Source organism: Homo sapiens, chromosome 3 (genome assembly GCF_000001405.40).
Source record: "Homo sapiens chromosome 3, GRCh38.p14 Primary Assembly".
In the NCBI taxonomy this organism is placed as follows: domain Eukaryota; kingdom Metazoa; phylum Chordata; class Mammalia; order Primates; family Hominidae; genus Homo; species Homo sapiens.
In genome coordinates, this window is record NC_000003.12 from 122,143,872 (window position 1) to 122,166,864 (window position 22,993).

Sequence of the window (22,993 nt, forward strand, 5' to 3'; positions counted from 1 at the left end):
CAAAATTGTGAGATCTTTGAAAAGTTATCAAATCAGTTCCTATTCACATTGGTGTTTTTTGTGGTTGTGTGTTTGTTTTGTCTAACAGCAATGTGCTAATTTTTTAGATTATTTTTATGGTTCCAATAAAAGAGAGGTTTTATTTTATTCATTTTATCCTTCTGTTTAATTTTAAAAACACAAAAACAGTTAAAGCAGTTTCTAAAAATGCACTTTTAAAATAGTCTACAGAATAGTTTACTATAGGTGATGAAACTAGAATAAAAGGAAAATCAAGGCAGGCAAAATAAGTTTTAAATCAAAAGTAAAAATAATTCACAAAATGCATGCAAATGTGAATTAATTTGGGTGCCAGAAGAAGGCTACAATTTGAATCTGTGCTTCATAGCTGGTAAGGCAAAGTTAAGAACACAATCAGGTAAAATATTCATAAACCAACTGCTCTGGGGAAGCAAATTCTGGTTTTGTTACTGAGACAGGAAAACAATTTTCCCAAGATTTTAAAAGGGGATGATCATGAAGTGTATCAGATAGTGTCTTTAATAACAACCCAGTATTAGATACAATCATAAATTCCATGACCTCACTACCGAACAATGACAAAAACTGAAGCAACTTTACATAGGCAAAAACAATGTGATCCAGGATAAGTGCTCTGATAATCAAACTAGAGCTAAGAATAAAATACAAACCATCTGAAGAATAGATGGCTTGTATGTCTTCTATGCAATGTTCTGTGACTGTTGTCTCTCAAAATTAAATTTTCAATAAGCATTGGCTGATGAAGAACTCAAAGTTCTATTTTCTCACAAGAACCTGGAATGTATTTTGATGTTCAACCAAACAAAGGAAGTAATGTTGCCATCTTCCTAAAAAGATGAGAACTCTGATCAAAACCCCTGCTTTAATGTAAGGATATCCCCCTTCCAAATGGACACAGGACAATGAAATGCTTATGGCAGATAAGTATATTTTTAAGTATTTAATACCATAAGTAATGCATATAATTTTTTTTAAAGCTGAAACATTATAGAGAAGTGAAAAGTCTCCTTTGACTACCATCTTCATTCCTAGTCCTCTTTCCCTCTGCAGACGTGATCACAGTTAGCAATTTGGTACATTCTTTCATTACTTCTTTGCATTTGCATATGTATGTATAGAAAATATCTAATATAAAGTATTATTTTGTACAAATTGCTCTTTATATAAAAATTTCAGTATTTCTATTAGTCACTTTTCCCCCACTCAACAGTGTACATTGGATTTCTAATCATGTCAGTACCTATAAATCCACTTCATTCTATTTCCTTCTTTCACAGGTGAACCTGTAGGTTGTTTACTAATACAAATATTGTTAATGACTACCTTTGCATCTGCCTCATTGGCACAGGAGCGTTTCTTGACTATTAGCTTTTGAGAAGTGGAATTGCTAGATGGAACTTTTAATTTTTTAATAGGTACTGCCAAATTACTTCTTAAAGTGATTGCACCAATTTACACTTCTTCAAGTAGTGTATGACAGTACCTGTCTCCTTAGGCCCTCAGTAACACTGAACATTAACAATCTTTTAAAAATTTTTATTCCAAAAAAATGAAAATGGTATCTCATTGTTTGAATTTGCAATTCCCTGATTATTACTAAAGACGCACTTTTTTTTTCCATTTTCAGTGATCACTAATGTTACCTCTCCCACTCAGTTTTCAAATAAATTTATTTTTATTTTATTATTTTATTTTAAAATCTGAGACAAAGTCATGCTCTGTCACCCAGGCTGGAGTGCAGTGGCATAATCATAGCTCACTGCAGCCTTGAATTCCTAAGCTCAAGGGATCTTCCTTCCTTAGCCTGCCTTATAGCTGATTTCATTATGCTTGGCTAATTTTTTAATTTTTTATAGAGACGGGGTCCTGCTATGTTTCTCAGGCTAGTCTCAAACTCCTGGCCTCAAGTGATCCTCCTGCCTTGGCCTCCCAAAGTGCTGGAATTACAGGTGTGCTGTCAACATGCCTGGCCTCTCAACCATTTTTTTAGTAAGTTGTTTGTCTCTTACTTACTGACTTGTAAGAATTGTTTTATTAAGAATTATTTTATACATATATATAATACAAGTCATTTACCTATTATACACATTGTAATCGTTTACTTCCAATGTGTTGTGTCTTTTGTTTATGGCACAATGTAAAATACCAACATTTTTCATTTTGGTATAGTCAAATTCATTGATCTTTTCCTTTACTTCATTTTAGTATCTTATATTGAAAATACAAGATTCTCTACTAAATATAAATTTATTGCGCAGAAATCAGAAGCCACTTGTGACTTCCTTTGCCTATAAATCCCTTACTGATTCTCTCTTCCCACCTGATCCACATGATCTTTACTATCCACCCTACAACATTTAGCACATCTTCTGTGAGAGGCAGTCCTTGGGACTTCACAGGGTAGAATGGTTGCCATTCATTCATTTATTTATTCAATTAATAATCTTTAGTTATCATATGCCAGGCACAGTGCTAGGCCTTGGTTATACAGCTGTGAATAAAGCAGACAAGATTTTTGCCCTCATTGAGCTCACAGTCTAATGAAAACAACATACATTTAACAAATCATTAAACATGTATACTCATCACATACTGTCAAGTATGAAGAAAGAAAAGCATAGGGTGCTATGAGAGAGTGGGTGTTGGAACTTCCACTGTGCTGAGCTGATCTCCATGACAGCTTGCATCATACTGTATTCTAATTTTCCGATCCCTGTGGCTTTCATACCATGGGCCCCACACATTGTTTGTCTGACACCAGTTTCCCCAGAGCCATCTTCCCTGACAGGGCCAGACTCCAGGTTTGACTATGCCTGCCTCTCTCTTGCTGCTCTGCTGACTTAGCATAGCATGAGTCACTCTTGCTCTGAGAAACAAAGTTCTGAGAAAACTGAGCCAACAAACAGGTGACAGAAAAATAAAACTCCTAGCGTAAGGGATTTGGAGCACGTAGGGGTGGAAAAATCACTCTGGAGTTGTCAGATGAACCTGATCCAGATAAATACTCTGGGCTTGGATGAACAATCAGATAGCAAACTAAATAAAAGTGCATTTTGAGTACTGTTTGAAACAGTGATGTGTAAATACCTTCTATACCTTGAGAAAGGCCCTCATAGTAACAATGGAGATGTTGTCACAGAACCAAACTATAATATTTGGACTATGAAAAAAACAGAAGATAGAACATTGGAGCCAATGAATCCACATTTTCCCTGTCACTGCCATCTGGAAAATCAGCCATTATACCCTCAGGGTTTCAAGATCTTAGAAGAAACCCTGAAAAGGCAGGAACGGGCCTCCCACTGTCTTCCTTGCACTTGAGGCCTGGCATCTACAGCCAACTCTCTGCTCCACCAGCTGTATAATGTTAGGCAGGTGGTTTACCTCATTGTCTCTGCCTCAGTTTTCTCACGTGTAAAATGTGAATAAATAATGGGCCTCCTAGAGTCTTTTTGAGTGCTTAATACATGATGGGCATTATAATTTTATAATGTATAATTTTTTCAGCACTGAGCCTGTCAATATGTTCTGCAAATTGCCACCTCAGACTTGGAGGCATTCCAAGACAGCCAAGCTCAGCTAAGGCCTCCAGGAATGGAAAGGAAATAAGTTCCTCCATTTACCTAGCCCAAGTTCCTTGCTGGACCTATTGACCTTCCACCTTCCTAGGTAGAGAGCAATTTGGATATTCTTTGTTTAAATAAATAAATAAGTACTAAGTAATACTTATGAGTATTTTCTTAGACATGTTCAGCAAAAAGGAAAACTCATGCTGGCTGTAGAGGCTTCACTACCAACTGCTCAGCACACAAGTTTGCATGGCATTAGCTTTCCCTAGCAGGCCACCAACCTGGCACCAGGCCCCACACTCAAATCTGGAGCTCTCTTTCCTGACCAGAGCTCTATCCCATGCTCTGATGGTCTGAGTCAGCTCACATGTTTTGCCTCTCCCAATTGAGCTGCAGAAATTCTCTCTTCTATTCTGTTACCTGCTTCACCTCCCCAGCCACAATATGCCAAATCATGAACTGTCCGATGATGGGGTGGTGCCTGCCTGCAGGGCCACTACCTCTGGCTGTCTCCCTGAGTGTTTACTGCTAATTTAAGCTCTGCAGGGGAACTCTGTTCACAGGGACATGGCCCCTGGGGTGAAAGAGGTCTCACTCTGACTCGCACTCAGTCCCAAACCAGGCTGTGACAAGGAATAAACAGGGATTCTCAGGGAAGAAGAGAGACATTCTTCAGGCTTTTCTACCTGAAAGGGTAAGCTTCATCCTAGAAAAGGCTAGAAAATGTGATGGACTCAATCAACAGATCTTCTAAAATCCAAGGACATTTGCTTTCTACCACAAAGAAAAATGAGGGTGGAATTTTTCTTCTCAAATGTGCCTAAGCCACTATTTGGAAAGGAAGTTTGATATTTGCAACTACGGTTTTCTCAATAATCAGTTAGCAACAATTTTAAAAATCAAGAATTGAGACAGAAATAAACAGTCAGAAATGAGCTTGGTACATCACAGTTGAAGTCAACACTGTGACAGTAAAATAGTTAATCCTGGGTTCACAGCTGTGGGATAATTCAGAAAAAAAAAATGTTTTTTCTATTTTTCTATTTGCTGAGTGCTAAAGACTAGGTTCTCTCTCTAATCCCAGGCCACTTTATCCTAATAAATAAGGAAGTTGTGCTTATTAACAGGAGCTTAATAAGATTGCAGCCCCTTTAAATATCCTGAAGACACTGGCGGCTCTCCTCTCCAGCAGCAAACTGTGGTGGGCATCTTAAGGTCATTTCCTGTCCTGTCCTTGACCACTGGCTGCAGCCTGTGGACATGGCTGACCAGGGCACAGGGCCACAAGACTCATCTTTCTTCCAGCACGTGGATATGAGGGCAGCATCATTTCGCAGAAAAGCAAATACAATTTTGTTTTATTTTGTCTAATATGGTTCTGGCACAACACAAGCTGTCCCTATTCTAAGGCTGGAGAATTTGATTTCCTCTCTGGCCTGTGGAAATGGGCTCAGCATATAGCCCTATTTAATCACAGAATGTTAACACTAATCTGACTAAGATGGCTGACTTGAGGTGCTCCCCAGGCTGCAGCAAACAGTGCTAATCCTTCTAGCTGAACCTGGGCCCAACTTCAGAGAACAGAGCGGTTGGCTGTTTAATCACTCATGAAGGCATGACTGATTGAAACCATCATATACTTCCCCAGCTCAAAATGCATATGATTTTTTTCACTGGGAGGAAAAAACACATTACTATTTTGACAGTTGGCACCAGAATCCCACTGAGGGGAGAGAACAGTGAGTTCTAGCAACAGTAATGTACATTCATTCTGATACTCCTTTCAGTGCCATTTTCAACCCTCCACTCCATTATCTCTAAATGCTCAGTAAAAGTCTAGTATCCTAGTATCCTGAAGCCTTGGGGAATGAAGGCAAAGATGGTGTGAGAGAGGAGAGCCCCTGCAGATGCTGGAAGAAATGGTAGAAGCCAAGAAACAGCAAAGAAACAGGTGGCAGTGTGGGCAAACTCGGAAATGCAGACACAGGAGAAAGCTTGCTGACAGGGGCAGGGAATGGGGAAACAGCCAAAAGGGGTAGACTGCCTTGGTTCTGATATATGAAAAGGGCTTTCCAAGTGGTAGACATTTGAATTCAATGAATATTTTGCCCAAGACATCTGCAATGATAACTCATATGTAATCTAATACACTGACATTTTGCAAAATATAATCTCAGAAGCACTTTCTATGTGAATAATATTGTAAACATCATTTTCAGTGGTGTCATAATAGTCTATTGAGCAGATTTGCCATGGTTTATTTAATGTTTCCCTATTTTGGACTTTTAAATAAATTCAAATGTTTAGCTATTAAGGATAATGGTGTTATGAACATCTTTAGACAGAAAGCTTTTACCACAGTTAGGATAACTTCCTCATGATGAATTCCCAGCAATGAAGTTCACTGGGTTAGATAGCATGAAATTTTTGAACTTTTGATAAATAGTGATAAAGTGGTTTTCATTTCCATCAATACTGATAAGGATCCTAGTTTCTCTGCACCTGGGAATCTCAGTTTCTCTGCACAAGGGAAACTATTAAATACCACTTATTCTCTGGAGGGAGATGTTCTTAAGATTAACATGTATTTTTAGAGGCTACATTCTTAAAGGTAAAATTACTAAGTCAAAAAGTATGCATATTTGAACTTTTGGTAGATAATGTCAAATTACCATCTAAATAGGCTATATCATTTAAACTTCTATCAACCACGTATGAAAATACTCATTCCTCCACACTATCTCCAACCATGAGTTGTATCAAACTTAAAATAACATTTTTTAGTCAATCTGATATCAAAAATATCTCATTATTTTAATATGCATTTCCACAATGCCTAGAGAGGCTAAATGTCTTTTCATATTATTAGCTACCTGTGTTTTTTTATCTGTGAATTGCTTGTTCATATATCTTGCTCATTATTCTTAGTTTGTTCCTATTTTACTTACTGATTTGTAGAAGTGGTCTATTGCCAGCCAGGCGCGGTGGCTCACACCTGTAATCCCAGCACTTTGGGAGGTCGAGGCGGGTGGACCACCTGAGGTCAGGAGTTCAAGACCAGCCTGGCCAACATGGTGAAACCCCGTCTGTACTAAAAATACAAAAAAACAGTAGCCAGCCATCGTGGCTGGTGCCTGTAATCCCAGCTACTCAGTAGGCTGAGGCAGAAGAATCGCTTGACCCCAGGAGGCAGAGGTTGCGGTGAGCCGAGATCACGCCATTGCACTCCAGCCTCGGTGCCAAGAGCGAAATTCCATCTCAAAAAAAAAAAAAAAAAAGAAAAAGAAAAAGAAAAGAAGTGGTCTCTTACCGAAATATATTGCCTATTATGTACATTGCAAATATTTCCCGCATTTTCTTTGTTTATTCTAGTGCCTTTTATTGGACAGAAAATTTTAATTTGTATATATTTAGATACATCTGTTTTTCCCATTTTACACCTGTTTTTAATCTAGTTTAGGAGGGTTTTAACCATCCCAAGGTTATAAAAATATTCTCCAATGTTTTGTTCTAATAGTCTTGTTTTTTGTATTTATTTAATTTATATGGAATTTAGCTTTGCATATGTTGTGAGGTATGATTTTGTCCCAAAACTTTAGCAATTGTTCATTTATCATGAAATAATTATAGTCTTCTTGGATCCAGTTTTCTACTCTCTAGTCATTAACTTCATAATAGGTTTTGTTCTGGTGAAGCAAGCTACTCTTATTTTTCTTGTTTCAAAATTTTATTGGTTATTCTTGTCCATTTATTGTTCCAGATGAACTTTAGAATCATTTTGAAGGGGATCATTTTTCAAAGTTATTAATTTTCATTGAGATTACACTGAATTTACCTATTAATTTGTGAACACATTATGCTTTTGTAACTTTATAATACTAAATCTTTCTATGAAGAAAATCACATTACTCTCCATTTATTGATTTATTGGACTACTTTTCTGTTTCTTCTATTTTTATTGATATCTTCAAATTTTTCACCTTATCTTGATTAAATTTTTAATAATAGCTTTATTAGGATACAATTCACATACCATAAAGTTCGCTTTTAAAAAAATGTATAATTCAATGGTATTTAGTATATTCACAGGGATGTGCATTGATCACTGCTATCTAATTCCAGAAGATTTTAATCACTCCAAAGGGAAACCACGTATCTATTAGCAATCATTCCCCATTTCCTCCTTGCCCTAGCCTCTGGCAACTACTAATCTATTTCCTGTCTCTATGAATTTGCCTATCCTGGAGATTTCATATAAATGAAGTCATACTGCTATGCATGATTCATACATGTGGCCATTTATGTCTGGCTTCTTTCACTTAACATAATTATTTCAATGTTTATCTATGCTGTAGAATATTACTAAAACTTAACTTACTTTTATGGCAAAATAATATTTCATTTTATGACTGTCACATTTTGTTTATCCATTCTTCAGTTGATGGACATTGGGTTGTTTCTGCTTTTAGGTTATTATGAATAATACTGCTATGAATATTTGTGTACAAGTTTTTCTTAGCCATGTTTTTAATTCTGTTGGGTATATATGTAGGACATAGATATACATACTTAAATCTATTCCTATATATACCTGGAAGTAATGGGTCGTATGATAACTCTATAACATTTTGAGGAACTGCTAAATTTTCCAAACTTGCAAAGTGGGTATACTATTTCATATTCCCGCCAACAATTTATGAGGATCCCAATTTCTCCACACCTTCACTAAGACTTCTTGTTTTAATTACAGCCATCTCAGTGACTATGAAGTTATTTCTCATTGTAGTTTTAATTTTTATTTCCCAAATGACTAATGATGTTGAGCATCTTTTCAGGTGCCTGTTGACTATTTACTTCTGTTTTCTTCTGAGAGCTTTGTAGTTCTAGCTCTTATATTTATGTCTATAACCTACATTTATTTATTTTTGTATATGGAATGAGGTGGGGGGTCTATCTTTTTTTTTTTTTTTTGTATATGGCCATCCTGTTTTCCCAGTATCATGCATTGAAAAGATGATTCTTCCCCTGCCCCTTGAGTGGTCTTGGTACCCATGTCAAAAATCAGTTGATCATAGATGCATAGGTTTATTTATGAACTCTCCATTCTACTTCATTGATCTATGTATCTGTCCTTATGCCAGTACTACATAATCTTGATGACTATATCTTTGTAGTAAGTTTTGAAATCAAGAAGTGTGAGTTCTCAAATTTGTTCTTTTTTTTTCAATATTGTTTTGACTATTCTGAGTGCCTTGCAACTTCATAAGAATTTTCTAATCAGTTCTTCAATTTCTAAATGAACTCAGCTGGGTTTCTGATAGGGATTGAATTGAATCTGCAGATCAATTTGGGAAGTGTTGCCATATTAACAATATTAACTCTTCTGATTCATGAGCAGGAATTGTCTTTTTACTTATTTCAGGTTTCTTTAATTTCTTTCATGTATGTTTTGTCATTTTTAGAATACAAGTCTTGCACTTGTTTTGTTCAATTTATTGCTAAGTAATTCACTTTTTGATACTATCGTAAATCAAAATTTAACTTCATTTTCAGATTGATTTTTGTGTACATAAGTCACTTGGTTTTTGTATATTGATTGTGTATTCTGCAACCTTGATAAACTCATTTATTTGTTCTAATTTTTTTGTATTTATTAGAATTTTGTATACATAAGATCATGCCATGGAGATTGTTTTATTTTTTTCTTTCCAATTGGAATTCTTTTTATTTCTTTTCTTGCCTAACTGCCCTTGCTACAACCTCCAGAATAATGTTGAATAGGAGTGGTTAGTGCAAAAGGAAGGGGCTCAAGATGGCTGACTAGATGCATCTGTTACTTACCTCTTCCATGGAGAAAAACCAAAATGGTGAGTGGATAATCACACTTTGAATACTTTGTTTAGGAGAAAGCACTGGAATTCAACAGAGAATTGATGGGAAGCACCAAATCCAAGGAAGAAGAGGAAAGTGCAGCGGCCTACTCAGCCAGGATCAACTGGAAGCCTGGAGAGGCTCCCTAATGCCGTGAAGGGTCAGTAAGAGACCCTAGTGGCCCAAACTCCCACCGTGGACTCCAACAAGTCTAACCACAAGAGAGCACCTCAACCCATACAGGACCTGAGACTAACACAGGGAGCTGTCTGGAGACTGCAATGGCATTACTCCAGAGAGGGAGCTCATGCTGAGGCCTACAAACCCCTGAGTACTAAGCAGCTGTAGCATGGCATCATTTTTGGAGCCCAATATCTATTAGAATGCTTCCTGCCCTGGGGACCAACAGCCCTTGCATCTCCACATCTTTGGAGCCCAGTTGACATTTTCTATCTGTAGCCACTACTGCCAGGGTTGAGTCAGGAGCCATTGGCAGCAACCCCACACCCCCAGGAAAGGAGTGGCCAAGCATCTTCACATGCCCCAAGGACAAATTCCACAATCCACAATTTCTGCAGCTGCAGGCTGCTGTGAGGCTGAAGTGTAAGTAAAGTGTGTGCCCCCCGGCTGGCTGCCTATAGCTGTTCTCACTGAAAGCAATCCTGTACTCCCTAGTAGCAGGGCTGCAGTATAGCTACTGCTGCCACAACCTAACCATTCCACTGGTGCCTAGGAGATCACCCTGCCACAGCATAGCAGAGCAAGCTCCTGCATGCACCAGTAGGAGGCCTCAGGACAGGTCTGCCCAGCCCAGCTTCATCCCCTAAATACTCAAGCATGCCATTCAGGTGCCTGGGAATTGCCCAGCCCTGTCCACTACCATTGGTACTTGAGCATTCCTCCCAGGTTCTGAAGTCAGGCCTACCCTAACTGCTATGACAACCACAGCTGGCACCCACCCCCATGTGCCACCTGCAGGCCTGGGGACTGGCCCACTTAGCCAGTCACACCTTAACATGGACCAAGAACACTTGGGTCCCAGAGGGTTGTCCCACCATTGCTACTGCCATAACCCACACTTCCTGCTGCCCAGGGGCCCCAAGAACCTACCTAACCACCCAAACTACTGCTGCCACTCCTGGCACCCAAGCAAGGCACCTGGAGGTCCAAGAATCAACCCATCTGGACTTACCAACACTAGCGTGAGTACATGCTGCTCTGGTGCCCAAAGACAGGCATGCTCAGACTGCTGCTGCCAACAATGGGGCTAAAGGACTGGCCATGGCATTCCAGTCCCCAGCAAAACTTCATCACAACCTCCACTAAGAACCACACCCTAAGCCAAAGAGGAAATCGTAGATACCACTGACCTTGTTTACAGCTGAAGAAATCACACAGAGGCTAGACTACCACATGTACCCACAATCAAAGCCAAAGCACCCTACCCAACCAACACTATAGATACATCTTTAGAAAAATGTCCTTCCCAGAGCTTGCAGTGACCCGAGATCAGGCCACTGCACTCCAGCCTGGGTGACAGAGTGAGACTCTGTCTCAAACAAGAAAGAAAAATGCCCTTCCCTCTGAAAGCAAACTCAGAAAACTGGAAGAAGCAACTGTTACACAGGAAGGTATCTGGAGACTGTTACCAGATGTGCAGATATCAATGTAAGAATATAAGAAACACAAAAAAGCAAGGAAATATGAAACCTCCAAAGGAATAGCATAATTCTCCAACAACTGATCTCAATCAAAAAGAAATTTATGAATTTATGAAATCCCCCCCCAAAATTCAAAATATTGATTTTAAAGAAACTCAGTGACAGACAAGAGAAAAAAATACAATGGAATCAGAAAAACAATTCAGGATATGAATGGAAAATTTACCAAAGAGATAGATATAGTAAAAAAGAACCACATAGAAATTCTGGAAATGAAGAATGTATATAATGAAATACAAAATACATATGAAAGCTTCAACAATAGATCAAGCAGAACAACTAGATCAAGCAGAAGAAAGAATCTTAGAAATTGAAGGTAGGTCTTTTGAAATAACTCAGTCAGATGAAAATAAAGGAAAAAGAATAAAAAAGAATGAGCAAAGCCTATGTGACATATGGGACACCATAAAGGGACCAAATATTTGGATTTTTTGTGTCCTAGAAAGCAAAGAAAAAAAAACAAAAGAATTAGAAAAGCTATTTAATAAAATAATAGATGAAAACTTTGCAAGTCTAGCAAGAGATTTAGATATCCAGATACAGGAGGCTCAGAGGTCCTCAAATAGATACAATTCAAGAAGGTCTTCTCCACAGCACATTATAGTCAAACTGTCAAAACCAAAGACAAAAAGAAGAATTCTAAAATCAGCAAGAGAAAAGCATCTGGGCATTTATAAAGGAATCCTCATCAGAGTAACAGCAGATTTCTCAGCAGAAATCCTACAGTCCAGGAGAGAATGGAATAATATATCCAAAGTACTGAAAGAAAGAGAAAAAAACTGCGGGCACGAATATTATACCCAGCAAAGTTATCCTTCATGAATAAAGAAAAAATAAAGTCTTTTCCAGGCAAGCAAAAGCTGAGGGAATGCATCACTACTAGACCAGACCTACAAGAAATGTTTAAGTGAGACCTACACCCAGAAGTGAAAGAATGGTATCTACCATCACAAAAACACACACAAAAATAAAAACCACTGGTAGAGCTAATACACAAGCAAGGAAAGACTCAAATGTTACCACCACAGAATACTGCCAAACCACAATGATAAACAATAAAAGAGAAAAGAACAATTAGAAATCAGTTACTAAAATTATGGGAATAAGCCCTCACATATATAATATAAAAGATATAGGCTGGCCAAATAGATAAAAAATTATGACCCAACTATATGCTGCCTATGAGAAACTCATCTCACCTATAAAGACACAGACAACTGAAAGTAAAGGGATTGAAAAAGATTCTATTTCAAGCAAATAAAAACCAAAGCAAGCATCAGTAGCTATACTCATATTAGATAAAATAAACTTTAAGTCAAAGACCTTAAAAAGAGACAAATAAGGTCATTATATAATAATGGGATCAATTCAGCAAGATGATATAACTATTCTAAACATATATGTACCCAATACCAGAGCACCTAGATATATAAAGCAAATATTATTAGCTACAAAGGGAGAAATAGATTCCAATGCAATAATATAATAGATCATTAGAGAACATTATGAACAACTACACACTAACAAACTGGAAAACTAGAATATAAATTAATACAACCACTATGGAGAACAGTTTGGAGGCTTATCAAAAAACTAAAATTAGAGCTACCATACAATCCCCCTCTCTCACCATGTGATATGCTGGCTCCCCTTCACCTTCTGCCATGGTTGTAAGTTTCCTGAGACCCTCATTATGCTTCATGTATAATCTGCAGAACCATCAGCCAAATAAACCTCTTTTCTTTTTAAGTTACCAAGGCTCAGGTATTTTTTTTAATAGCAATGGAAATGGACTACCACGTGAGGTGTGTTTCTTCTATGTCTAGTTTGTTGAGAGTTTTTTTGTTTTTGTTTTCGTTTTTGTTTTTGAGACAAGGTATCACTCCCATTGCCCAGGCTGGAGCATAGTGGCATGATCTTGCAACCTCTGCCTCCCGGGCTCAAGTGATTCTCCTGCCTCAATCTCCTGAGTAGCTGGAACTACAGATGCACACCACGGTACCCCGCTAATTTTTGTGTTTTTTGTAGAGACAGGGTTTCACTATGTTGCCCAGGCAGGTCTTGAACTCCTGAGTTCAAGTGATCCACCCAACTCAGCCTCCAAAAGTGCTGGGATTATAGGTGTGAGCCACCATGCCTGGCCTAGTGTTTTTATCATGAAGAGATATTGAGTTTTGTCCAGTGCTTTTTTCTGCATCTATGAGGTGATCATATGATTTTTGTCCTTCATTCTATTGTGATATATCACATTTACCAACTTGCATATGTTGAATGATCCTCACATTGCTGGAATAAATCCCACTTGATCACAGTGTATTCTTATTATTTTTGATAAGCTGTTGCTAGTATTTTACTGATAATTTTTGCATAATGTTCATCAGGGATATTGGCCTGTAGTTTTCTTTCTTTCTTGTATCCTTGTCTTGTTTTAGTATCAGGGTAATGTTGGCTTCAAAGAATGAGTTAGGAATAATTCTCATTTCTTCAATTTTTTGGAAGAGTTTGATTAGAATTGGTGTTAATTCTTTGAATGTTTGGTAAAATTTGGCAGTGAAGCCATATGGTCCTGGACATTCTTTTTTGGGAGGCTTTTTATTACTGATTTGATTTCGTTACTCGTTGTTCTATTCAGGTTTTCTATTTCTTCCTGATTCAATCTTGGTAGCTTGTATGTCTCCAGAAATTTATCCACTTTGTTAGTGTATAGTTGTTCAAGGTGAGCTATGAGTCGAGTGGAATAAGACAAACCATGAGAATGGAGTTTTTTTAATGTGTTTTGGGAAATAAAACAGTAATTATTCTCTAGAGATGAAAATTTGGGGAAATCCAAAGTCCTTCTGTTTCCTCCAGTGATTTCTAAGGCTGCTGGTTTTCATAATGACCATAATTGTATGACTCTTGGCTTTCAAGGTTTACACAGAACTGGGAAAAGGAAGTTATAATAGAATTAAAGCAAGTTGAAATGCCACAAGGCCTGCAGTTTCTACTGAGGTTCAGCCAGTTTTCTTGAATAAATACTTTTCTGATTGTTACAAACCTCTAATTTCCAGAGTTCTAAAAGACTTGGTTTTGACTGTTTGTTTGTTTGTTTGTTTGTTTGTTTGTTTGTTTTTGAGATGGAGTTTCATTCTTGTCTCCCAGGCTGGAGTGCAATGGCACGATCTCGGCTGACTGCAACCTCTGCCTCCCAGGTTCAAGCGATTCTCCTGCCTCAGCCTCCCGAGTAGCTGGGATTACAGGTGCCCACCACCATGCCCAGCTAATTTTTGTATTTTTAGAAGAGACAGGGTTGCACCACGTTGGCCAGGCTTGTCTCAAACTCCTGACCTCAGGTGATCCACCTGCCTCAGCCTTCCAAAGTGCTGGGATTACAGGCGTGAGCCATTGCTCCCACGCGACAGTTTTTTGCCAGCATTCAAATTGCTTTTTTAGAAGAGAAGAATTACTTTTATTGCAGAAGTCCTTACTGTGCCATTCCAGAAGTCAAGTTTTTCTTTTAAGTTGTGAACTTTTTAAAATTTTTATTTTTTGTAGTAACATAAAAGGTGCAATATTTATGGGGTACATGAGATACTTTGATACAGGCATACAATGCATAATCACATCAGAGTAAATGGAGTATCCATCACCTCAACATTTATTCTTTGTGTTACAAACAATCCAATTATTTACTTTTAGCTATTTTGAAATGTACAATTAAATTATTATTGACTGTAGTCACCCTGTCACCTTGTTCTCCTATCAAATACTAGATCTTGTTCATTCTCACTGTTTTTAGTCACCATTAACAATTCCCATTTCCCCACAATGCACCCCCACTACCCTTCCCAGTATCTGGTAACCATCCTTCTACTCTCTATCTCCATGATTTCAGTTGTTTTAATTCTTAGTTTCATAATTGTCAAAAGATGTGAAATGTGTCTTTCTGTGCCTGGCTTATTTCACATAGCATAATGACCTCCAGTTCCATCCACGCTGTGGCAAATGACAGACTTTCATTCATTTTTATCACTAAACAATACTCTGTTGTGTATATGTACACATTTTCTTTATCCATTCATCTGCTAATGGACCCTTAGTTTGTCTCCAAATCTTGGCTATTGTGAATAGTGCTGAAATAAACATGGGAGTGCAGATATTTCTTTGATATACTGATTTCCTTTCTTCGGTATATATACCTAGCAGTAGGATTACTGGATCACATGGTAGCTCTAATTTTAGTTTTTTGATGAGCCTCCGAACTGTTCTCCAAAGTGGTTGTACTAATTTACATTCTCATCAAATCTATACAAGGGTCACTTTTTCTGCACATTCTCACCTGCATATGTTATTGGTTGTCTTTTGGATAAAAGTCATTTTAATGAGGGTGAGATGATATCTCACTGTAGTTTTGATTGCATTTCTCTGATAATCAGTGGTGTTGAGCACCTTTTCATATACCTGTTTTCCATTTGCATGACTTCTTTTGAGAAAGGTCTATTCAGATTTTTTTTCCCCATATTTTAACCAAATTTTAGATTTTTCTTATAGAGTTATTGGAGTTCTTTTTTTTTTTTTTTTTTTTTTTTTTTTTTTGAGACAGAGTCTCGCTCTGTCACCCAGGCTGGAGTGCAGTGGCATGATCTTGGCTCACTGCAGCCTCTGCCTCCTGGGTTGAAGTGATTCTCATGCCTCAGCCTCCCTAGTAGCTGGGATTACAGGCACACACCACCATGCCCGGCTAATTTTTGTATTTTTAGTAGAGACAGGGTTTCACCACGTTGGCCAGGCTGGTTTCAAACTCCTTACCTCAAGTAATCCACCCACCTTGGCCTCCCAAAGTGCTGGGATTACAGGTGTGAGCCACTACGCCTGGCCAAGGTTGTTGGAGTTCTTTATATATTCTGCTTATTAGTCCCTAGTCAGATGAGTATTTTGCAGATATTTTCTCCCATTCAGTGGGTTGTCTCCTCACTTTATTGATGCATCCTTTCCTGTACAGAAGCTTTTTAATTTGATGTGATCCCATTTATCTATTTTTGTTTTGGTTGCCTATGCTTGTGGGGCATATGCTCAAGAAATCTTTTTCCAATCCAATGTCCTGGAGAGGTTCCTCAATGTTGTTGTTTAGTAGTTTCATAGTTTGAGATCCTAGATTTAAGTCTTTAATCCATTTTGATTTGATTTTTTACATCGTGAGAGATAGGGATCTAGTTTCATTCTTCTGCGTATGGATATCCAGTTTTCCCAGCACCACTTATTGAAGAGACTGCCCTTTCCCCAAAGTATGTTCTTAGCACCTTTGTGGAAAATGAATTCACTATGGGTGTACGGATTTGTTTCTGGGTTCTTTATTCTATTCCGTTGGTCTATGTGTCCGTTTTTTTTTTTTTTTCCAGTATCATGCTGTTTTGGTTACTATAGTTCTGTAGTATAATTTGAAGCCAGGTAATGTAATTCCTCCAGTTTTGTTCTTTTTGCTCAGGGTAGCTTTGGCTATTCTGAGTCTTTTGTGGTTCCATATAAATTTTAGTGGTTTTTTTCTATTTCTGTGAAGAATGTCATTGGAATTTTGATAGGAATTGCATTGAATCTGTAGACTGCTTTGGGAAGTATAAACATTTTAACAATATTGATTCTCCCAATCCATGAACATAGAGTATCTTTCTATTTTTTGTGTGTCCTCTTCAATTTCTTTCATCAGTGTTTTATAGTTTTCAGTGTACAGATCTTATACTTCTTTGGCTAATTCCAAGGTATTTTATTTAATTTGTAGCTATTGTAAATAGGATTACTTTGTTGTTTCCTTTTCAGATTATTTACTGTTGGCATATAGAAATGCTACTGAATTTTGTATGTTGATTTTGTATTCTGCAATTTTATTGAACTTGTTTATCTGTTATAATAACTCTTTGGCAGACTCTTTAGGTTTTTCCAAATATAATATCATATCATCTGCAAACAAGGGTAATTTAACTTCTTCCTTTGGATGCCGTTTATTTCTTTCTCTTATTTGATTGCTTTAGCTAGGACTTCCAGTACTATGTTGAATAACAGTGGTGAAAGTGGGCATCTGTGTTGTGTTCCATGACTTAGAGGAAAAACTTTCAGTTTTTTCCCATTCAGTATTATGCTAGCTGTGGGTCTGTCACATATGGCTTTTATTATGTTGAGTTATATTTCTTTTATATCCAGTTTTTTGAGGGATTTTTATCATGAAGGGATGTTGAATTTTATCAGACTCTTTCTCATCATCAGTTGAAATGATCATATAGTTTTTGTCTTTCATTTTGTTGATATGATAGATCATATCAATTGATTTGCATATGTTGAACCATCCTTGCATCCCTGGGATAAATCACTCTTGGTCATGATGAATGATCTTTTTAATGTGTTGTTGAATTCAGATTGCTAGTAGTTTGTTGAGGGTTTTTGCATCAATATTTATCATGGATATTGGCCTGTAGTTTTCTTTTTTTGATGTGTCTTTGTCTGGTTTTGGTATCAGGGTACCACTGGCCTTGTAGAATGAATTCAGGAGTATTCCCTCCTCCTCTATTTTTTGGAATAGTTACAGTAGAAATGGCATTAGTTCTTTAAATGTTTGGTAAAATTCAGTAGCAAAGCTATCAGGTCCTGAGCTTGGCTTTGCTGGAAGACTTTTTATTATGGCTTTGACCTCATTACTTGTTATTGACCTGTTCAGATTTTGAATTTCTTTCTTGTACAATGTATGTATCTCAGAATTTATTGGCTTCTTCTATGTTTTCCAATTTATTGGCATATAGTTGCTCACAGTAGCCATTAACATCCTTTGTATTACTGTTATAGTTGTTGTAATATCTCTTTTTTAATGTCTGATTTTATTTATTTGGGTTTTTCTCTTTTTTTCTTAGTCTGGCTAAAGCTTTCTCAATTCAGTTTATTTTTTCAAAAAACCAACTTTTCATTTCATTGATTTTAAAAATTGTTCTCTGTATCTCAATTTCCTTTATTTCTGCTCAATCTTTATTATTCATTTTCTTCTACTAATTTTGGGTTTGGTTAGCTCTTGCTCTTCTAGTTCTTTAAGATGCATTGTTAGGTTGTTTATTTGAAGTATTCTACTTTTTTGATCTAGGTTCATATCACTATAAACTTCCCTCTCAGCAGTGCTTTCTCTGTATCCTGTAGGATTTGGTATGTTGTGTTTCCACTATCATTTGTTTTACAAAATTTTTAAATTCCCTTTTTAATTTCTTTATTGACCCACTGGTCATTGAGGAGCATATTGTTAATTTTTATGTGTTAGTATAGTTTCCAAAATTCCTCCCATTTTTGATTTCTAGTTTTATTCCATTGTGGTCAGAGAAGATGCTTGATATTATTTCAATTTTTTTGAATGTTTTAAAACTTATTTTGTGGCCTAACATATGGTTTATCCTTGAGAATGATTCATGTGCTGCAGAGAAGAATGTGTATTCTGCAACCATTGGGTGAAATATTCTACAAATATCTACAGGTTCATTTGGTCAGTAGTGCAGATTAACTCTGATTTTTCTTTGTTAATTTTCTGTCTGGAAGATGTATCCAATGCTGAAAGTGGAATATTGCGGTCTCCAGCTATTATTGTATTGGGGTCTATCTCTCTCTCTAGCTCTAACAATATTTGCTTTATACATCTGGGTGCTCCATAGTTGAGTGCATAGATATTTAAAATTGTTATATCTTCTTTCTGAATTGACCCATTTATCATTATATAATGACTTCCTCTGCCCTTTTTATAGTTTTTGTCTTGAAATCTATTTTATCTTATATAAGCATTGCCACTCCTACTCTTTTTTGATTTCCACTAGCATAAAATATTTTTCCATTGCTTTATTTTCAGTCTACTTGTGTCTATATAGGTAACATGTTGTTTTTGTAGACTGTTCAGTCTTATTTTTTATCCATTTGGTCATTTTATGTCTTTGATTGGTGAGTTTAGTCCAACTACATTCAATGTTATTATTGAAAATAAAAACTTACTCCTGCCATTTTCTTATTTGTTTTCTGGTTGGGGTCTTCACTTCCTTCTTCCTTTTGTTCTTATCATCCTTTAAACAAAGGCAATTTTCTCTGGTGGTATGCTTTAATTTCTTGCTTTTTATGTTTTGTGCATTCATTGTATGCTTTTTGATTTGAGATTATTGTGAGGCTTAAAATAATATCTTATAATCTATTATTTTAAACTGATGACAACTTAACACTAATCACATAAACAAACACAGCAGCTAGCAAACAAGCAAAGATAAAACTAATAAAAAACTCTACACTTTATCTTTATCCCCCTGCATTTTAAATTTTTGTTGTTTCTATTTATATCTTGCTGTACTATGTATGTCTTGAAAAGTTGTTGTAGTAATTATTTTTGATCAGTTCATCTTTTAGTCTTTCTACACAAGATATGAGTAGGTTATGCACCACAATTATGGTGTTATAATATTCTGTGTTTCTCTGAGTACTTACTATTACCAGTGAGTTTTGTACCTTCAGATGATTTCTTTTTGCTCATTAACATCAATTTCTTTCAGATTTAAACCTTTCTTTAGCATTTCTGCATTTCTTGTTCTGGTGTTGATGAAATCCCATAGCTTTTGTGTCTCTCGAAAGTCTTTCTCCCTCTCCCTCTCCCTCTCCCTCTCCCTCTCCCTCTCCCCACGGTCTCCCTCTCATGCGGAACCGAAGCTGGACTGTACTGCTGCCATCTCGGCTCACTGCAACCTCCCTGCCTGATTCTCCTGCCTCAGTCTGTCGAATGCCTGCGATTGCAGGCACGCACCGCCACGCCTGACTGGTTTTGGTGGAGACGGGGTTTCGCTGTGTTGGCCGGGCCGGTCTCCAGCCCCTAACCGCGAGTGATCCACCAACCTCGGCCTCCCGAGGTGCCAGGATTGCAGACGGAGTCTCGTTCACTCAGTGCTCAATGGTGCCCAGGCTGGAGTGCAGTGGCGTGATCTCGGCTCACTACAACCTACACCTCCCAGCCGCCTGCCTTGGCCTCCCAAAGTGCTGAGATTGCAGCCTCTGCCTGGCTGCCACCCCGTCTGGGAAGTGAGGAGTGTCTCTGCCTGGCCGCCCATTGTCTGGGATGTGAGGAGCCCCTCTGCCTGGCTGCCCAGTCTGGAAAGTGAGGAGCGTCTCCGCCCGGCCGCCATCCCATCTAGGAAGTGAGGAGCGCCTCTTCCCAGCCGCCATCACATCTAGGAAGTGAGGAGCGTCTCTGCCCGGCCGCCCATCGTCTGAGATGTGGGGAGCGCCTCTGCCCCGCCGCCCCATCTGGGATGTGAGGAGCGCCTCTGCCCGGCCGAGACCCCGTCTGGGAGGTGAGGAGCGTCTCTGCCCGGCCGCCCCGTCTGAGAAGTGAGGAGACCCTCTGCCTGGCAACCACCCTGTCTGAGAAGTGAGGAGCCCCTCCGCCCGGCAGCTGCCCCATCTGAGAAGTGAGGAGCCTCTCCGCCCGGCAGCCACCCCATCTGGGAAGTGAGGAGCGTCTCCGCCCGGCAGCCACCCCGTCCGGGAGGGAGGTCGGGGGGGGGGGTCAGCCCCCCGCCCGGCCAGCCGCCCCATCCGGGAGGGAGGTGGGGGGTCAGCTCCCCCGCCCGGCCAGCCGTGCCGTCCAGGAGGGAGGTGGGGGGGGTCAGCCCCCCGCCCGGCCAGCCGCCCCGTCCAGGAGGTGAGGGGCGCCTCTGCCCGGCCGCCCCTACTGGGAAGTGAGGAGCCCCTCAGCCCGGCCAGCCACCCCGTCCGGGAGGGAGATGGGGGGGTCAGCCCCCCACCCGGCCAGCCGCCCCGTCCAGGAGGGAGGTGTGGGGGTCAGCCCCCCGCCTGGCCAGCCGCCCCGTCCGGGAGGGAGGTGGGGGGGTCAGCCCTCCGCCCGGCCAGCCGCCCCGTCTGGGAGGTGAGGGGCGCCTCTGCCCGGCCGCCCCTACTGGGAAGTGAGGAGCCCCTCTGCCCGGCCAGCCGCCCCGTCCAGGAGGGAGGTGGGGGGGTCAGCCCCCCGCCCGGCCAGCCGCCCTGTCCGGGAGGGAGGTGGGGGGGTCAGCCCTCCGCCCGGCCAGCCGCCCCGTCTGAGGTGAGGGGCGCCTCAGCCCTCCGCCCGGCCAGCCGCCCTGTCTGGGAGGTGAGGGGCGCCTCTGCCCGGCCGCCCCTACTGGGAAGTGAGGAGCCCCTCTGCCCGGCCAGCCGCCCCATCCGGGAGGGAGGTGGGGGGGTCAGCCCCCCTGCCCGGCCAGCCGCCCCGTCCGGGAGGTGAGGGGCGCCTCTGCCCGGCCGCCCCTACTGGGAAGTGAGGAGCACCTCTGCCCGGCCACCACCCCGTCTGGGAGGTGTGCCCAACAGCTCATTGAGAACGGGCCAGGATGACAATGGCGGCTTTGTGGAATAGAAAGGCGGGAAAGGTGGGGAAAAGATTGAGAAATTGGATGGTTGCCGTGTCTGTGTAGAAAGAAGTAGACATGGGAGACTTTTCATTTTGTTCTGCACTAAGAAAAATTCCTCTGCCTTGGGATCCTGTTGATCTGTGACCTTACCCCCAACCCTGTGCTCTCTGAAACATGTGCTGTGTCCACTCAGGGTTAAATGGATTAAGGGTGGTGCAAGATGTGCTTTGTTAAACAGATGCTTGAAGGCAGCATGCTCATTAAGAGTCATCACCAATCCCTAATCTCAAGTACCCAGGGACACAAACACTGCGGAAGGCCGCAGGGTCCTCTGCCTAGGAAAACCAGAGACCTTTGTTCACTTGTTTATCTGCTGACCTTCCCTCCACTATTGTCCCATGACCCTGCCAAATCCCCCTCTGTGAGAAACACCCAAGAATTATCAATAAAAAAATAAATTAAAAAAAAAAAAAAAAAAGAAAGTCTTTATTTATCCTTCATGTTTAAAGGATGTTTTCATCAGGTATTCTATTCTAGGGTTTAAAAAACATCTTCCTTTAGCACTATTTGTTTATTTTATTTATGTATGTATTTATTTATTTATTTATTTTTGAGACAGAGTCTCACTCTGTTGCCCAGGCTGGAGTGCGGTGGCACGATCTTGGCTCATTGCAACCTCCACCTCCTGGGTTCCAGTGATTCTTGTGCCTCAGCCTCCCAAGTAGGTGAGACCACAGGCACACACCACCACACCTGGCTAATTTTTGTATTTTTAGTAGAGATGGGGTTTCGCCATGTTGCCCAGTCTGGTCTTGAACTCCTGGCCTCAAGCGATTCACCCACCTCAGCCCCCAAAGTGCTGGTATTACAGGCGTGAGCCACTGCACCTGGCCCCTTTAGCACTTTAAATATGTCATCCCACTCTCCCCTGGCTTATAAGGTTTCCACTGATAAGTCTGCTGCCAGACATATTGAAGCTCCATTGTATGATTTTGTGTGTGTGTGTGTTTGTTTTGTTTTGTTTGAGATGGAGTCTTCTTTGTCGCCCAGGCTGGAGTGCAGTGGTGCAATCTCGGATCACTGCAACCTCCACCTCCCGGGTTCAAGCAATTCCCCTGTCTCAGACTCCCAAGTAGCTGGGACTACAGGAGTGCACCACCACTCCTGGTCATTTTTTCTATTTTTGGTAGAGATGGGGTTTCACCGTGTTGGCCAGGCTGGTCTCAAACTCCTGACCTCAAGTGATCCATGTGCCTCAGCCTCCCAAAGTAAGCCATTATTTGTTTCTTTTCTCTAACTGCTTTTAGGATTCTTTCTTTATCCTTGACTTTTGGGAGTTCGATTATCAAATGCCTTGAGGTAGTCTTCTTTGGATTAAATCTGCTTGGTGTTCTATCACATTCTTATACTT